The following is a 16,864-nucleotide window of genomic DNA, read 5'->3' as shown; positions in this document are numbered from 1 at the left end:
TAGGTTTGGTGGCGCCTCTGGTCCCAGCTACTCAGGACGCTGAGTGGGGAGGATTGCCTGAGCCTGGGAAGTCAAGGCTGCAGTGAGCCGTGATTACCCCACTGCACTCCAGCCTGGGCGACAGAGCAAGATCCTGTCTCAAAAAATGAACAACCTTCTGCTACTCATAACAACATGGAGAAATTTTGCAGACATAATGAGGAGCAAAAGGAGCCAGACCAGAAGAATACATGTTCGGTGATCCTATTGATGTAAAGTTTAAAAACATAAAACTAATCGATGGTGTTAGAAATCAGGATGGCCAGGCACAATGGCTCACACTTGTAATCCCAGCACTTTGGGAGGTTGAGGAGGGAGGATCGCTTGAGTCCAGGAGTTCAAGGCCAGCCTGGGCAATATAGTGAGACCTTTCTGTATAAAAAACCAAAAATAAAAAATGAAAAATCAAGAAATCCGGATGGAAATTGCCTTTGGGGGACAAGATGGGTGCAGTGATGGGGAGAAGTCATAGGGGCTTCTGGTAATGTCCTATTTTTTTCATTTGGGGTAGTTATAATTTGTGATATTTGGCTGTACATTTATAAATTATGTACTTTTCTGTATATATGTTATACTTTTTTATTTATATTGAGACAGGGTTTCACTCTGTCACTGGAGTGCAGCGGCAAGATCATGGCTCACTGCAGCCTCAACCTCTCAGGCTCAAGCTCTCCTCCCACCTCAGCCTCTCAAGCAGCTGGGACTATAGGCATGTGCTACCACGCCCAGGTAATTTAAATTTTTAATAGAAACAAGGTATCACTATGTTGCTCAAGGTGTGTTTTATTTTTGTTCATAATATCATTTTATTTGGTAATTTATTCAGTCAGATTTCCTGGTTCATTATCAGTAGTTATTCTTTACTTCCCCATGGGCCAAACTCAGGCTGATGTGTTTTAACCATAGTCAGAAACCTTTGTAAGGAAGTGAATTTTACATCACCTAATATGGTTCTGTGTCCCCACCCAGATCCCATGTTGAATTGTAGGTCCCAGTGTTGGAAGAGGGGCCTGGTGGGAGGTGACTGGATCATGGGGGTGGTTTCTCATGGTTTAGCACCATTCCCCTAGTGCTGTCCCATGATAGAGCTCTCACGAGATCTGTTGTAAAGTGTGTAGCGATGTCCCTTTCGCGCTCTCTTCCTCTTGCTCCGCCCATGTAGGAAGTGCCGGCTTCACCTTGCCTTCCGCCATGATTGTAAGTTTCCTGAGGCTTCCCCCAGCCATGCCTCCTATACAGCCTGTAGAACCCTGAGCCAATTAAACCTCTTTTCTTATAAATTACCCAGTCTCGGGTAGTTACTTGTAGCAATGTGACAGTGGACTAATACATCATCCATGCACAACTTTTTATGATTATAACAACTGCATTAAGAAAAACACCTTCATATTTATTTAATTTGTGCACATTTATGGGATACATGAGAAAATTTGCTGCATGTATGTAATGCGTAGTGATCATATCCTCCATTTCTTAAAATTTTATTTATTTTTTTAAATTTCTGGTATGAAGACGTGAAAAATGTCTCCAGTGGTCCTCATGAAGACCCATTGCTGTGTCCTTGACAGCAAATTCAGGACAACTCGGCCTGTTTCTAACAGCCTCCCTGGCGTGGGCCAACAGCCCGCCAGCAGGAGCGTCTGCGCAGGCCTTCCCATGAGGGATTACCCAGCGTGGTTCCAGGGCTTTGCTCTCTGCTGATCTGGCTCAATCCAAGGGTAAACAGAGTAGAGCAAAATGGATGGGCTGCCAATCCTGCCGGCAGTACTGCAAGCATGATTTCTCTCCATTGAGTTTTTGCTGAGTATCAAATGGGAGAGAAATGGGGATTATACTCTGACAGGAACTTGGAGTACAGACCCACTCTACTGCCAAGTAAGGACACGTCTAAATGCCTTCACAGTGAAGTGAGCTGGGAGGAGGGTTGGTGTCCCCGTGTAGCAGTTAAGGAGCCACAGGCACTGTGAGTAGAATCCCGTCACACCCTGACAAGGAGGTGGGAGCAAGCAGACTGGGGGAATGCTGTAGTTCATTGATCCAAGGTGGTACTTTCCCCCACATTTTAACATTTTTAAAATTGGGATGCATTTTGCAGTTTATATGTCATAATTTAGTTGGCAGTGGTTCTTTTTTTTTTTTTTTTTCTTTTGAGACAGGGTCTCGCTCTGTTGCCCAGGCTTGAGGGCAGTGGCTTGATCTTGGCTCACTGGAGTGCCGTGGCCTGATCTTGGCTTAAACTGCAATCTTTGCCTCCCAGACTCAAGTGATCCTCCCTCCTCAGCCTCCAGAGTTGCTGGGACCACAGGTATGCACCACTACGCCCAGCTAATTTTTGTCATTTTGGGTTTTTCTTTGTTTGTTTGTTTGTTTTGATGAGACAGGGTTTTGCCATGTTGCCCAGGCTGGTCTTGAACTCCTGGGCAAGCAATCTGCCTGCCTCAGCCTCCCAAAGTGTGGGATTACAGGTGTGAGCCACCACACCCTGCCAGTTTTTTCTGTCCAAAGTACAGTACATCTTACGCTTGACGGCCTCTTAGATTCAATGAACAAGGCACTGCCTCAATATTGCTTCCCTCTTCAAGCCTCAATATCTCCAACTACTTGATAAACAATTGGAATTTATTTTCCTTCTTTTTTTTTTCTTTTGAGACAGGGTCTCTCTCTGTCACCTCAGGCTGGAGTGCAGTGGCACAATCACAACTCATTGCAGCTTCGACTTCCAGGCTCAAGCAATCCTCCCACCTCAGCTTCCCAAGTAGCTGGAACCACAGGCACAGCCACCACACCTGGCTTTTTTTTTTTTTTTTTTTTTTTTTTTTGGTAGAAATGGGGTCTAATGTTGCCCAAGCTGGTCTCAAACTTGTGGGTTCTGGCAGTCTTCCCGCCTTGGCCTCCCAAAGTGCTGGAATTACAGGCATGAGCCACTGCACCTGGTAGAGTTTATTTTAAAAGTCTACATTTTGCCTTCGACATTTAGAGATCTGTTACTCTGGTACCTTCTATCCTCTGCCCATCACATTTGTTGCCAGGGAGCCAGCCATAGAAGGCATGCTTTCATGAATATATAAAATGATTCGCAATGGGTTTTGAATAGCTTATATTGTAGGGAGTGATTCATGCAAAGAATCCATCCTTCCTGCTGTGGTTTGAATGTGTCTCCCAAAAAAGATGTATCAGACACTTAATCCCTGGTGCAACAGTGTTGAGAGGTAGGACCTTTAAGAGGTGATTAGGTCATGAGGGCTGTGCTCTCATGAATGGATTAATGCCATTAATGCTGAGCGGGTTAGTTATCACAGCAGAGCAACTTCCTGATAAAAGGATGAGTTTGGCTCCCTCTTTCTGTCTCTCTTTCAGTCTCTCTCTCTCTCTCTCTCTCATGCTTGTGCCCTTTTGCCTTTCCACCCTTCTGCCATGAGATGACACAGCAGAACTCCCTCACCAGACACAGTCCCTCAATCTTGAACTTCCAGCCTTGAGAACCATGAGCCAGATAAATCTGTGTTTTATAAATTATCCAGACCCAGATTTTCTGTTACAGCAGCACAAAATGGACTAAGATACCTCCCCAGTGTTGTTTATACTGTAAATTTCCTTTGCAAACTCTTCCTTTCTAGAAAATATTGGGGCAAAAGTCAGCATAACCTATTTAAAAGTGTTTAAATGATGATGTTTGCTTGTATTTAATTATGCGAGCTCTATAACTCCTGAAGTATTTACACTGGAGCTTCAAGAAAAGTCTATAGATTCCAATACGGAAATTGTAAAAGAAAACCTTCTCAAAGTTTTGATGGAAATCAAAATGAAAAAGTTTGGAGAAGAATCATTTGTTTTTCATTATTTTAAAGTTATTAAAATCCATGTGCTGTTTTTCTTGTTTGTTATGAACACTTGAGTTTGACTCTAAAGAGAAGTTATTTATAAAGAGAATAATTGGGCAAAGCCTTGCATGAGAAAAGGTTAACTGTTATTATCCTTAATTGTTATTAAATGCCCTCTGGTCAGGAGCAGTGGTTCACACTTGTTATCCCAGCACTTTGGGAGGCCAAGGCAGGAGGATCACATGAGGCTGGAAGTTCAAGACCAGCCTGGGCAACACAGTGGGACCCCATTGCTACAAAAACTAAAAATAAATAATTTTTTAAATAAAAATAAATAAATGCCCTCAAGGTTACAGGCAGCAGCTGGCGGGCCTAAGGTGTGAGCCAACCTTCTCCACCCACTTCCCTTTTGAGGGTTCTCCACCTTCTCTCTTCCCTTTCTACTGCCTTAAGTGCCACCTTGAGATCTGCAGACCCCAGACCTAACAAAATCCACTTCTTACCAGTGTAGGAAACAAATCACACCCATTCACTAACATCAAGGAGTTAGTAACGGATAATGATTTGATGTATTACCCTTCCTGCATGTATTTGCATTAAAAAAAATTATTACGCAAATTGACATGTTCTTTGCTGAAAAATGAAAAATTCAGATAAGCAAAAAATAATAATGATTACCTCCAGTATCATCAGACAGAACCACAGTTACCTGTTACAAAGTTAGTTTCTTTTTTTTCTTTTCTTTCTTTTTTTTTTTTTTTTTGAGACAGGGTCTCACTCTGTCACCCAGGCTGGAGTGCAGTGGCATGGTATCGGCTCACTGCCACCTCAACCTCCTGGGCTCAAGTGACCCTCCCACCTCAGCCTCCCAAGTACCTGGGACGACAGGCAAGCACCATCAAGCCCGGCTAATTTTTGTATTTTTTTATATAGACAGGGCTTCATCATGTTGCCCAAGCTGGTCTCAAACCCCTGGGTTCAAGCAATAGGCCTCCCAAAGTGCTGGGATGACAGGTGTGAGCCACTGCTCCTTGCCATTGTTTCTATTTTTCAAACTTTTTTCTGTGCATATATTAACATTTTGGGGAGACTCCTGAAGAAAGACTTTCTCCCCCTTCCTTCTTCCCCTCTTTCTTCCTTGGCCTAAACTTATCGTTCAGGAAGCAGCAGTTCTACGTGTACACACAAAACCAGCTGTGAAGAGTATTACGGAAAAGGCCCCATTCTTGAGAATTTCATGTGCTTACAGAGGTTTATAGATAGCAGTGATCATTTGTTTTTGGAAACAAAATGTTTCCTTAGATGCTGATAATGATACAGATCAAGTTGACATCTTAAAATATCTGACTGGCCACCTCCCAGCTCTTAAAAAGAGATCAAGTATTTTGATCATGCTACAGCATTAGGTCATAGGGGTGTAATCCCTTGTCTTCCAGAAGCCTTCCCTGGGTCCCTGAGGAGTTGGGAGGGAGGCATTCTGAATTCTCAGTCTTTGTCTATGTTGCTGAAGTGGCCCTGGGTGGCATTCCGTTGGAATTTTTGTACATTCACCTTCCCAACTCCACAGGAACCTCTCAAAGTCACACTTAGAATCCTAGAATCTTACATTACTTAAAGGGGCTTTGGAGAGGTCCAGTTTATAGACATAGAAACTGAGGCACATGGGTCAGATTACCTCCCCAAGGCCACATAGCATTTTTTTTGAGACAGGATCTCACTATGTTGCCCAGGCTGAAGGGCAGTGTTGCAATCACAGCTCACTGCAGCCTCAATCCCAGGCTCAAGGGATCCTCCCACCACAGCCTCCTGAGTAGTTGAGACATATGCCACCATACCTGGCTAATTTTTTAATTTTATGTAGAGATGGGGTCTCACTATGTTGTGTAAGCTGGTCTCAAACTCCTAGGCTCAAGCAATCCACCCACCTTAGCCTCCCAAATTTTTGGATTTTTTAATGCTCTAAAACAATCAACATAAACACATTTCTGATCATTTGGGTCTATTTATTATACTTGAGTGACCACTGAATTTTATTCTTCACTTTTTTGTCTATGAATGGTCCTGTTTGTATTTTTCACTGGTTGGACCAAGTCACTTACAATGCAGTGCTTTTTCTAGAGAGAGAGGTAACAAAACAAAGGAGACTCTCAGGGGTCGCTGCTTTTTCACATTTGAGCAACACTACACTGCAACACATCGCTTCGTGTTCCCCACTATGGTGTGTTTGTTGATGATGCATTTTAATAATAAGTAAATTAGAAATTCTGCCTTTGCCTCTCATTTATGATACATGGTATTGTGCTGAGAGTGAAGATGAACAGATCTTTGGCATTTTGTGGTTACCTTTTGGGAGTGGGACTGATTTCAGTCCCTGGGGGTAGGATCTAATTGCTAAGAACTGGAAGCAGGAAACCGATTTCACAGGTTTGCCCCTGAGCGCCCCTGGTTTGAACAGTCTCCATACATTCAGTCCCTGTCCTGACATCTGATCACCAATATCCATGATCCCTTTAACACTGACATCTGGTGGCCCTGGAGTAGTAGGACAGTCGTTGGGCGGCTCAGCTGTGGTTTTGATGAGATGACCTTATTCTATATAATAAAGCAGGTGGCTGTCGCGGCACAGGGGCCACCGCCCTTTCCCCAGGACCCCCTCCAGTGACTCACTCCCTTCCGCTTACCCCACACCCACTTAGCACTTCTGGCCCCAGAAGCCTCCAAGCAGGTCCTGTGTCCTCTGAACACACTCCCTCGCCCCCCTGCCCCGCCCCCCCCCACCCCCCTGCCCCCCCCCCCCCACCCCCAGCAGCAGGCAGGCTCTTGATGGTGGCCTGGGTGGGAGGAAGGGAACTGATCCCTTGGGTCTGTGTCCGCTGCCATGTTGGCCCGGATTCTGGTGCTAGATGGCCAATGATTTATTGCCTCCCAGGGCAGCAGGTGGCTGGGGTATTTTTAGTGTCTAAAGCCTTTAGGGGAAGGGTTGGGAGGGGGTGGGGGCAGCCATGAGGTCTGAGAGAGTTCACTCTTCCAAGGTTTCAGTTCAAAGCCTCTAGACGGTGGGTCTCCACCCTTACCTCCTTCATGCCTTCCAGCTCTGGGTAAAGGGGTACCCACTTTCAAAATCACACTTCTGTCTTCTTGCGTCTACGTGCCTTTTTCTAGTCAGCTCATAAACACGCGCTAGAGAGGGTGATCCCTTTGGGATGCCAAATTGTTGGGTAGCTAGGAAAAGGACTGGCTGTGATTGGCACCCCATGTGTGTATTCACTCCACTCCAAAGCACTTTTCTGCTCACTGCATTATCTGATCCTCGCTATAATCTCATGAACCCCATGGACAGGGATTATCGAAGAGCCTGGCAACAACAAAAGGTGAGCGGCCTGCCCAGTGCCATGGGGAACAGTGGCAGCCAGGCCACCTGCGAAGCGTTGGGGGGGGAGCCCAGAGCCCAGGCTGTGCCACCAGGAAGTGCTGAGTTACAACTGCCCCTTGCCAGGGGGAGACTTGACAAGATATGTAACTGCCCTCATCCTCAGCCTCTGCACCCCAAAAACTGCGACTCCTAGTGCTTAGCACGTAACGTTGTGAGGACGAGCATGTAGTAAACACTCAATATAACTGTTCTTGTCTATTCCAGCTCACACATTTAGTGGCTTTGCATCTGTCCATGGTACAGGCCCTGAATATAGGACAGTCTCAGAACTGTAAAACATGCCAGGGCGCTCAGGACTAGAGCAGAACAACTGGCCGAAACCTGCGGCTCCTGAGCTGGGCACATCACAGAGAATAAAATATAAAAATGTAAAAGCTGTGCATCCAGAAGCTTCGTCAATCAGACAGCCTGAGACTGGATTTGCGTTCCTTTCACTCTGGAATGACTTGGTGGTGTTAAGTGTGTGATGCCTTGGCCTTAGCAACCCTGTGTTTTCTTTCTTTCTTTCTTTCTTTCTCTCTTTTTTGAGATGGAATCTCCCTGTGTCACCCAGGCTGGAGTACAGTGGCACAACCTCGGCTCACTGCAATCCCCACCTCCCGGGTTCAAGTGATTCTCCTGCCTCAGCCTCCCGAGTAGCTGGGATTATAGGTGCACGCCATGATGCCTGGCTAATTTTTGTATTTTTAGTAGAGATGGGGTTTCACCATGTTGGCCAGGCTGGTCTTGGACTCCCGATCTCAGGTGATCCACCCATCTCAGCCTCCCAAAGTGCTGGGATTACAGGCGTGAGCCACCATACCCGGCCCCCTGGCTTCCTTTCTAAGGATACATTCTGCCTGTGCTTCAGAGAAGAGGGGTTTTCATCAGCTCCTGGATGGAATGGTGTCGGCACCAGGGAACCCCCACTAGAGACCTGGAGAAATCAGGGAAATGAAATGACTGAGTCCTCTGTAGCAGGTGAGTGGGGACAGGCTGTGATTGTAAGTTGTCAGCTCCTGCATTTGCCCCAAACAAGCTGGGCCAGAACCCCCGGGGTTCACCTTCCCACAGCAGCTGCCTCTACCATTTCCAGAGCCTGACCAAGGAATGCGACTCAGGGTGCTGGGCTGATGGAGAAGGGCTGCTGTAGGTTTGATCTTGGCTTTGCGTGGGCCTGTCAGCATGCTACAGGTCTGGGGGCCACTGAGTCCCACCCCTGCTGGGTGCCTCTGTACCTTATAACTGGGCCTCTGCCTACATTTCTGTCTTGTTAACACTTCAGTTTTTCATGAGAGCAGAGCCTGTCTCAAACCTCAGTTCATTTGCCTGTTGGCCCCAAAACCCTAATTAGCCCTAGCCAGTGGAAAGGGGTTGGCAGTGATGGTAAAGATGTGAAGATACAAGGAACCAGGTGCTTTTCCTGTTAGTGCCGGCCCTGACTGACGCCGACCCCTACTCTGGAAAGGGTTGTCAGTAGTTCTCTAGTCCAGTGTTAAGTTCTGCATAGAAAGGGTTCCATGGTCATGATCAAACACTCTGTCACCATCTCCCCCACATGCCATGCCTTAGAGATTGGATATTCCCATAATCATATGAAGGGTTTTGAGATGTCCTGCATTGGAGAAACTTGTTTAGTGTCATTGAATCCAGCATTTCTCAAGCATGTTGGACCAAGGAACCCTCTTTTCAGGTCAGTTCTTTACATCCTTCAGAAGTAGTGTTTCACAGAACCTACCTTGAAAACAAGGCCCAAACCAGGCCACAGCCACCTCGTGACAGCTATCAGCTGCTTTGACTTGTGGCTGCACTCCACCCTAGATGGCATCTCCTTAGATGCTGAACCCTGCTGAAATAGAACCTGAGGTCATTGCATCACGAGCCAGCACAGCCTGGCCCATCTTCCTAGCCCTAATCCCACTCAGCCTTGGCTTCCTTCCACTAGCCACCAGTTTGCCTAGGACAGCAGAAGAGAGGATTCCCCTGTGTGTTCACATCTGCCACACCACCCTCACTATTCCCACCCAGATGATACCTAAAATGTGCAGCTTGCCTTGGGGCTGGGAGCCCATTGGACAGAGATTTTCTTGCTTCTCACCTTTGAAAACAAGAATTTAATTCTTATCCCTATACTCCACTCACACACATATTTCCCTTCTTCCCTCCTCCCAATATAAATATTTAGTTAAATGAGTATTTAGTATTTACATTATCGTGACTATGGAAAAATTATCCACAAGTGAGTCATTTAGGATACTATGATTACATTTCTTTTCAGGGCAACATTTTGTTTTCCCAAGAGCTGATCATTGTCTTTTTTTTTTTTCTGTTTGCTTAGTTTTCTGCATACTTATCAATAATTCAATCCCACACTCTGCCAAAACGGAAAACTTCCCCGATATAATCAAATAGATAGGTAAACTGTTGGTGGTGATTGGTTGGTTAGCTGGTTGGTTTGCAACATCCTTCCTCTAGGAACAATTAGTCCCCTTGCTCCCATCTATACTGGTTGTTCTGGAAGCCTCTGCTTAGCCACAGTTCTGGAAATACCTTTGCTTCCCTCTAGTGTTGAATTCCACGTTGCCTAGATGCCATGTCTGCATCTTGGTTCATTCTTTTAAGGGAGCAAAACTATAGTCGCTTCCTAACAGAAAGTGAATGAGCCCTTGCATGTCTGAGAAATGTCATTATGCTATGCTCACAATTGATTTATAGTTTAGGTATAAAATTCTAGGTTGGAAATAATTCCTCTTCTGAATTTTTACTTTCTATTTTTAAATAATTTTGGACTTACAGAAAAGCTGCAAAGACACTGCAGAGTTCTATGTAATGTCTTTATGCAGCTCACATAGCCATAGTACAATGATCAAAACTAAGAAAATAACTTTGGTACGCTACTACTTACTAAACTACAGACTTCAGATATAACCAATGTTTCCAATGTCGTTTGATTTTTCCATGATCCAATCTGAGATTCCACTTTGCTTTGGTTGCTAAGTCTTCTCAGTCTCTTCCTGTCCTAGGCAGTCTTTCTTTGTCTTTCATGACTTTGACAGTTTTGAAAAAGACTGGTCAGTTATTTTTTTGGAATGTCCCTCAATTTGGATTTGTTTGATGTTTTCCTCATGATTAGACAGTTATGGGTTTGGGGCAAGAATACCATGGAGGTAACGTGCCCTTCTCAGTACATCGTGTTGGGTGCTTGATGTTGATCAGACTTATTACTGGTGATGCTAACCTTGATCATGTGGTGAAAGTGGTTTCTGCTAGTTTCTCCATCATAAAGTTTTTTCCTTTTGCAGATAATAAATATATTAGTGGACATACTTTGAGACTATGTAAATATCCTGTTAATCCTCAAACTTTTACCAACTAATTATAGCATTCATTGATGAATCTTGCCTGCAACAATTATTACTGTAGTGTTCTAATAGTGATTTTCTTTTTTCCTCATTTCTTTTACATTTATTAATTGGAATTCTCTTGTAGGGTAGAGCTATTTCTTCTCCATTTATTTAGTCATTCAATTATTTATTTTTATTAGCACTGACTCATTTATTTTATCCTATGGGTCACTGGACAATTTTGTTGTTCAAATTGCCCTCGGAAATTAGAAGGCTTTGCTCCATTATCATTTATTTATTTATTTATTTATTTATTTATTTTTATTTTTTATTTTTTATTTTTTGAGACAGAGTCTCACTCTGTCGCCCAGGCTGGAGTGCAGTGGTGCGATCTCGGCTCACTGCAAGCTCCGCCTCCCAGGTTCACGCCATTCTCCTGCCTCAGCCTCCAGAGTAGCTGGGACTACAGGCACCTGCCACCACGCCCGGCTACTTTTTTGTATTTTTAGTAGGGACGGGGTTTCACTGTGTTAGCCAGGATGGTCTCGATCTCCTGACCTCGTGATCCGCCCGCCTTGGCCTCCCAAAGTGCTGGGATTACAGGCGTGAGCCACTGCACTCGGCCCCATTTATTTATTGTTTTAGAGATAGGGTCTCACTCTGTCACCCAGTTTGGAGTGCAGTGGCACCATCATAGTTCACTGCAGCCTCAAACTCCTGAGCTCAAGCCATCCTCCTGCCTCAGCCTCCCAAGTAGCTGGGACTACGTAGGTGCATGACACCAGGCCTGGCTAATTATTTTATTTTTTGTAGAGACAAGGTCTCGCTTTGTTGCCCAAGTTGGTCTCAAACTCCTGGCCTCGAGTGTTCCTTCTGCCTCAGCCTCCCAAAGTGCTGTGATTACAGGCGTGAGCCATGGCACCTGGCTCCATTATCCTCTTTTTTTTTTTTTTCTTTTTTGAGGCGGAGTCTTGCTCTGTTGCCCAGGCTGGAGTGCAATGGTGCAATCTCAGCTCACTGCGACCTCTGCCTCTCGGGTTCAAGCCGATTCTCCTGCCTCAGCCTCCCAAGTAGCTGGGATTACAAGCATGTGCCACCACACCCGGCTGATTTTTGTATTTTGGGTAAGAATGGGGTTTTACCATGTTGGCCAGGCTAGTCTCCAACTCCTGACCTCAGGTGATCCACCTACCTCGGCCTCCCAAAGTGCTGGAATTACAGGCATGAGCCACTGCGCCCGGCCCTGGCTCCATTATCCTTTAGATTTTAGTGTTGCTGTTAAAAAGTTTAATGCCATTCTGATTCCTGATCTTTTGTATGTGAACTGTTTTCCTCTTTTATGATGTTCAGAAAGTTCACAATATTGTGCTTTTGTGTTTGTTTTTTAAAAGGTATTTTTTAAATTGTATGTAATTTTATATTTAAATATATCATATATTCAAGGTACACAAACTAATATTTTGATATACTTATCTTGATGTATATAGTGAACTGATTACTAGAGTCACGCAAATTAACATACCCATCATCTCATATACTATAGTTTCATTCTTTCTTTATTTCTTCCTCTTTTTTTTTTTTTTTTTTTTTTTTTGTGAGACAGAGTCTCACTCTGTCGCCCAGGCTGGAGGGCAGTGGCATGAACATGGCTGGCTCACTGCAGCCTCCACCTCCTAGCCTCCTGAATTGCTGGGACTACAAGCACAAGCCACCATGCCCAGCTAATTTTGCTTTTTTATTTTTGGTAGAAATGGGGTCTCACTATGTTGCCCAGGCTAGTCTCAAACTCCTAGGATCAAGTGATCCGCTCCCCGCCAGCTTCCCAAAGTGCTGGAATTACAGGCATGAGCCACAGCACCTGGCCTGTTCTTGCTTTATTTCTCTGATAATTCACGCCCTCTACTTTTTCTCTTTTGTCTTTCTGGAACTGCCATGATTCTGATGCTAAACTTTTGGACTAATTGTTTAGTTTTCCTGTGTTTTCAGTTTCTATTTTTCTTTCTTTTCTTTTTTTTTTTTTTTCTTTAGATGGTGTTTTGCTCTTTCACCCAGGCTAGAGTGCAGTGGCACGATCTCGGCTCACCGCAACCTCTGCCTTCCAGTTTCAAGCAATTCTCATGCCTCAGCCTCCCAAGTAGGTGGGATTACAGGCTCGTGCCACCACGCCCAGCTAATTTTTGTATTTTTAGTAGAGATGAGGTTTCACCATGTTGGCCAGGCTGGTCTTGAACTCCTGACCTCATGATCCGCTTGCCTTGGCCTCCCAAAATGCTGGGATTACAGGTGTGAGCCACTGCACCTGGCCTCAGTTTCTATTTTTCATCTTTTTGTTCTACTTTATAAGAAATTTTTGTTTGTACTTTACCTTCCAATTTTGCAGTGGATTTTTCAGTGTGGAGCCCAAGAGCACTATCTTGTTTTTGAAATTTTTTTTTGGCCAGGTGCAGTGGCTCATACCTGTAATTCCAGCACTTTGAGAGACTGAGGTGGGAGAATCACTTGAGGCCAGGAATTCAAGACCAACCTGGGCAACACAGCGAGAGCCCATCTCTACAAAAAAATTGTTTTTTAATTAGCTGGGTGTGGTGATGCACACCTGTAGTTCCAGCTACTTGGGAGGCCGAGGCAGGAGGATTGCTTGAGCCCAGGCACTTGAGGCTGCAGTGAGCCATGATCATGCCACTGCACTCCCCTGGGTGACAGAGCAAGACCTTGTCTCAAAATAAATAAATAAATATTTTTTTCATAGCAATCTTGTCAATTATGAATGTAATATATATTCTCACTTTTAAGGCTATTTATTGTTTAGGGGAAGTTTTCTTTTGCTTCCTGCGATGGTCTCTCTTTCCTCTGAGTCGGCTTTTTCCTGTTTGTTTCTGTCTCCCTCTTTCATGTTGAAAGCTTTTTCCTGTTTGTTTCTGTCTCACTCTTTCATGTTGAAAGCTTTTTCTCCGTTTCCTGTCATCCTTTATTGTCCATATCTGAGTAAGGCATTGCGCAGGATATTCACACTGTGCCCGGGTGTGTTACCCGAAGGTCATTGGCGAAGGGAAACGTGTGCCTTTACAGTGGAAAGATCCAGCAGTCACTGCCTCCACCAAGTGATCAAACTTCGCTTCACTGCTAGTGACCTATGCAGACGCTGTCTCCAGATACAATGCGACATGAAGGATAGAACTTCAGCTCTGTGTCAGCCGGGCGCAGTGGCTCATGCCTGTAATCCCAGCACTTTGGGAGGCTGAGGCAGGCAGATCACAAGGTCAGGAGATCGAGACCATCCTGGCTAACACGGTGAAACCCCGCCTCTACTAAAAATACAAAAAATTAACCAGGCGTGGTGGCACGCGCCTGTAGTCCCAGCTACTTGGGAGGCTGAGGCAGAAGAATTGCTTGAACCCGGGAGGCGGAGCTTGCAGTGAGCTGAGATAGCACCACTGCACTCCAGCCTAGGTGACAGAGGGAGACTCCATCTCAAAAAAAAACAAAAAAAAAACAAAAACTTGAGCTCTGTGTCTTGTCAAAGGTGTCTGATCTGAATCTAGTCAAGACTTTAGATCTCACTTCCAGTTTATGGGATTTACAAGAGATAGAGGTACAAGTTAAATGACGGTACAAGGAAACAATCAGACAAATCAGATATGAGATGCTCCTTCCACTAAATGGCCTGGCCTACTCAAAAAGTCAGCATTGTGGGGAAAACAAGAGGTTGGGAATATTCTAGTAAGGAGAATAAAGAGACATAAGAGCCAAATGCAATGTGTGCACATGGAAAAGACATTCTAGGGCCAATGCAGGAGGCTAGAATACGGATTCAACATGAGACAACATTAGAAAATTGTGTTAAATTTTCTTGGGTGTGTCATGGATTTAGTTATGTGTGATAATGTCCTTATTCTGTGAAGATAGATACTGAAATATGTATGGGAAAATATTATGGCTGCAGCTCATTTTCAAATGGTTCAGAAAAACAATATACACAGCTGCGCGTGGTGGCTCATGCCTATAATCCCAGCACTTTGAGAGACCAAGGCAGGTGGATCACCTGAGGTTGGGAGTTCGAGACTAGCCTGGCCAACATGGCAAAACCCCATCTCTACCAAAAATACAAAAATCAGCCGGGCCTAGTAGTGCATGCCTGTAATCCCAGCTACTCAGGAGGCTGAGGCAGGAGAATCACTTGAACCCAGGAGGTGCAGGTTGTGGTGACTCGAGATTGTGCCACTGCTCTCCAGCCTGGGCAACAGAGTGAGACTGTGTCTCAAAAAAAAAAAAAAAAGGAAAAGAAAAACAACATACACAACACACACATATCTAAAGATAAATATGGTAAGGTGCTAACAACTGCAGAACAGAGGGAGTGGGCACATTGTACTCTTTGTGTTGTTTTTCTGTATGTTTACATTTTTCCATAATAAAAGTGTAGGAAAAAAGGGGAAGGTAACAAAAAGCTGACAGAAGGTTGTGTGAGCCCCGTGTATGTGGCCAGGACTCGTCAGTTGGTGAACCAGCAATTCCAGCAGGGACCTTCGGATGCTAGTGCCGTCAGTCTTCTCCCCAGCCAATCAGCACTCCTGGAGAGGAGCTCCCAGCCCCCGCCTGGGGTGTGTGGGCCTCACTGCCAACACATGGGAGCTGAATTCAGATTTTCACTGAATTCTCTTGTTTTCTTTCTTTTTTTTTTTTAGACAGTATCTGGCTCTGTCACCTAGGCTGGAGTGCAGTGGCGTGATCTCGGCTCACTGCAGCCTCAACCTCCCAGGCTCAAGTGATCCTCCCTACCTAAGCCCCAGCCCCAAGTAGCTGGGACCACAGGTGCCCGCCACCACACTCAGCTAATTTTATTTTTTTTTTAGAGACAGGGTCTCCCTATGTTGCCAGACTGGTCACAAACTCCTGGGCTCAAATGATTCTCCCGCCTCAGCCTCCCAAAGTGCTGGGATTACAGGCATGAGCCACCACGTCCGGCCTAAATTCTCTTGTTTTAATAGGTGTCTCACCCCATCCTCAACTGGGGAAAGCCTCCTAAAGAAACCCACAGCCTTCTGCCCGGGAGCAGAGGGCAGCTGCCTGCCTAAGTAAAATGGGGAAGGATTCCGAGGGTCTCTTTTCCTCCAGACTTTCCCCCAGTCCTGTTTCCAGGCCCACTTCGGTGCTCCTGATCTGCCAGCCTGAGGTCTCCTGGGGTTTGGTCCCTAAGGGCTTACTCATGACTGTGAGGCTGTGTCAAGCGTGGTCTCTAGAGCCGAACCTCGGAGAGGTTCAGATTCTGCTGTGTAACCTGGGGCAAATTAAACCTTTCTGTGCCTAGTCTCCAATATTAGGGTACAAATCCTGCTAGCATTTTTGGGGGATCGCGAAAGTGAATATACCTTCAACCCTTAGATCAGTGGCTGGCACGGAGTAAATCCTTGAGGCTACACACACACACACACCCCAACCCCCGGCAGATGTAGGTTTCTGATTTCTCTGGTCTGTGCGGTCACTTCCCATTTTCTGTAATTATATTGCTATCTCCAGTCTGGTACTCTTTCTTCTGCTTTGCCTTTGTAGGTTTTGGCTTTTTTTTTTTTTTAATCCCTTTCTCTCTCTGGTGAGACATACATATACATACGGTTATATATACAGTTAAACATACATATACATTCACAACATTAAGCCACAAGTCTCAATGACTCTCTTTTTCTTCCTTTCTTTTTCTTTCTTTCTTCTTTTTCCTCTTTCTCTCTTCTTTCTTTTCTTTTCTTTTTTTTTTTTTTTGAGATGAAGTCTCGCCCTGTCGCCCAGGATGGAGTGCAGTAGCGCGAGCTTGGCTCACCACAACCTCCGCCTCCCGGGTTCAGGCCATTCTCTGGCCTCAGCTTCCCAAGTAAGTGGAATTATAGGCATCTGCCACCACGTCCAGCTAATTTTATTTTTTTAGTAGACACAGGGTTTCGCCATGTAGACCAGGCTGGTCTTGAATTCCTGACTGCAGGTGATCCACCTGCCTCGGCCTCCCAAAGTGCTGGGATTGCAGACATGAGCCACCACGTCCGGCCAGCTCCCTCCCTCCCTCCCTTCCTTCCTTCCTCCCTTCCTTCTTTCCTCCCTTCCTTCCATTCTCTCTTTCTTTCTTTCTCTTTTTCTTTCCTTTTCTTGCTTTCTCTATTTCTTTCTTTCTTCTTTCTCTCTCCTTCCTTCCTTCCTCACTCTCTCCTTCCCTCTTTCTCTTTCCCTCCCTCCCTCCCTCCCTCCCTTCCTTCCTTCCT

This window comes from Homo sapiens, chromosome 13, assembly GCF_000001405.40.
Source record: "Homo sapiens chromosome 13, GRCh38.p14 Primary Assembly".
Lineage (NCBI taxonomy): Eukaryota > Metazoa > Chordata > Mammalia > Primates > Hominidae > Homo > Homo sapiens.
This window is presented reverse-complemented; position numbering follows the sequence as displayed.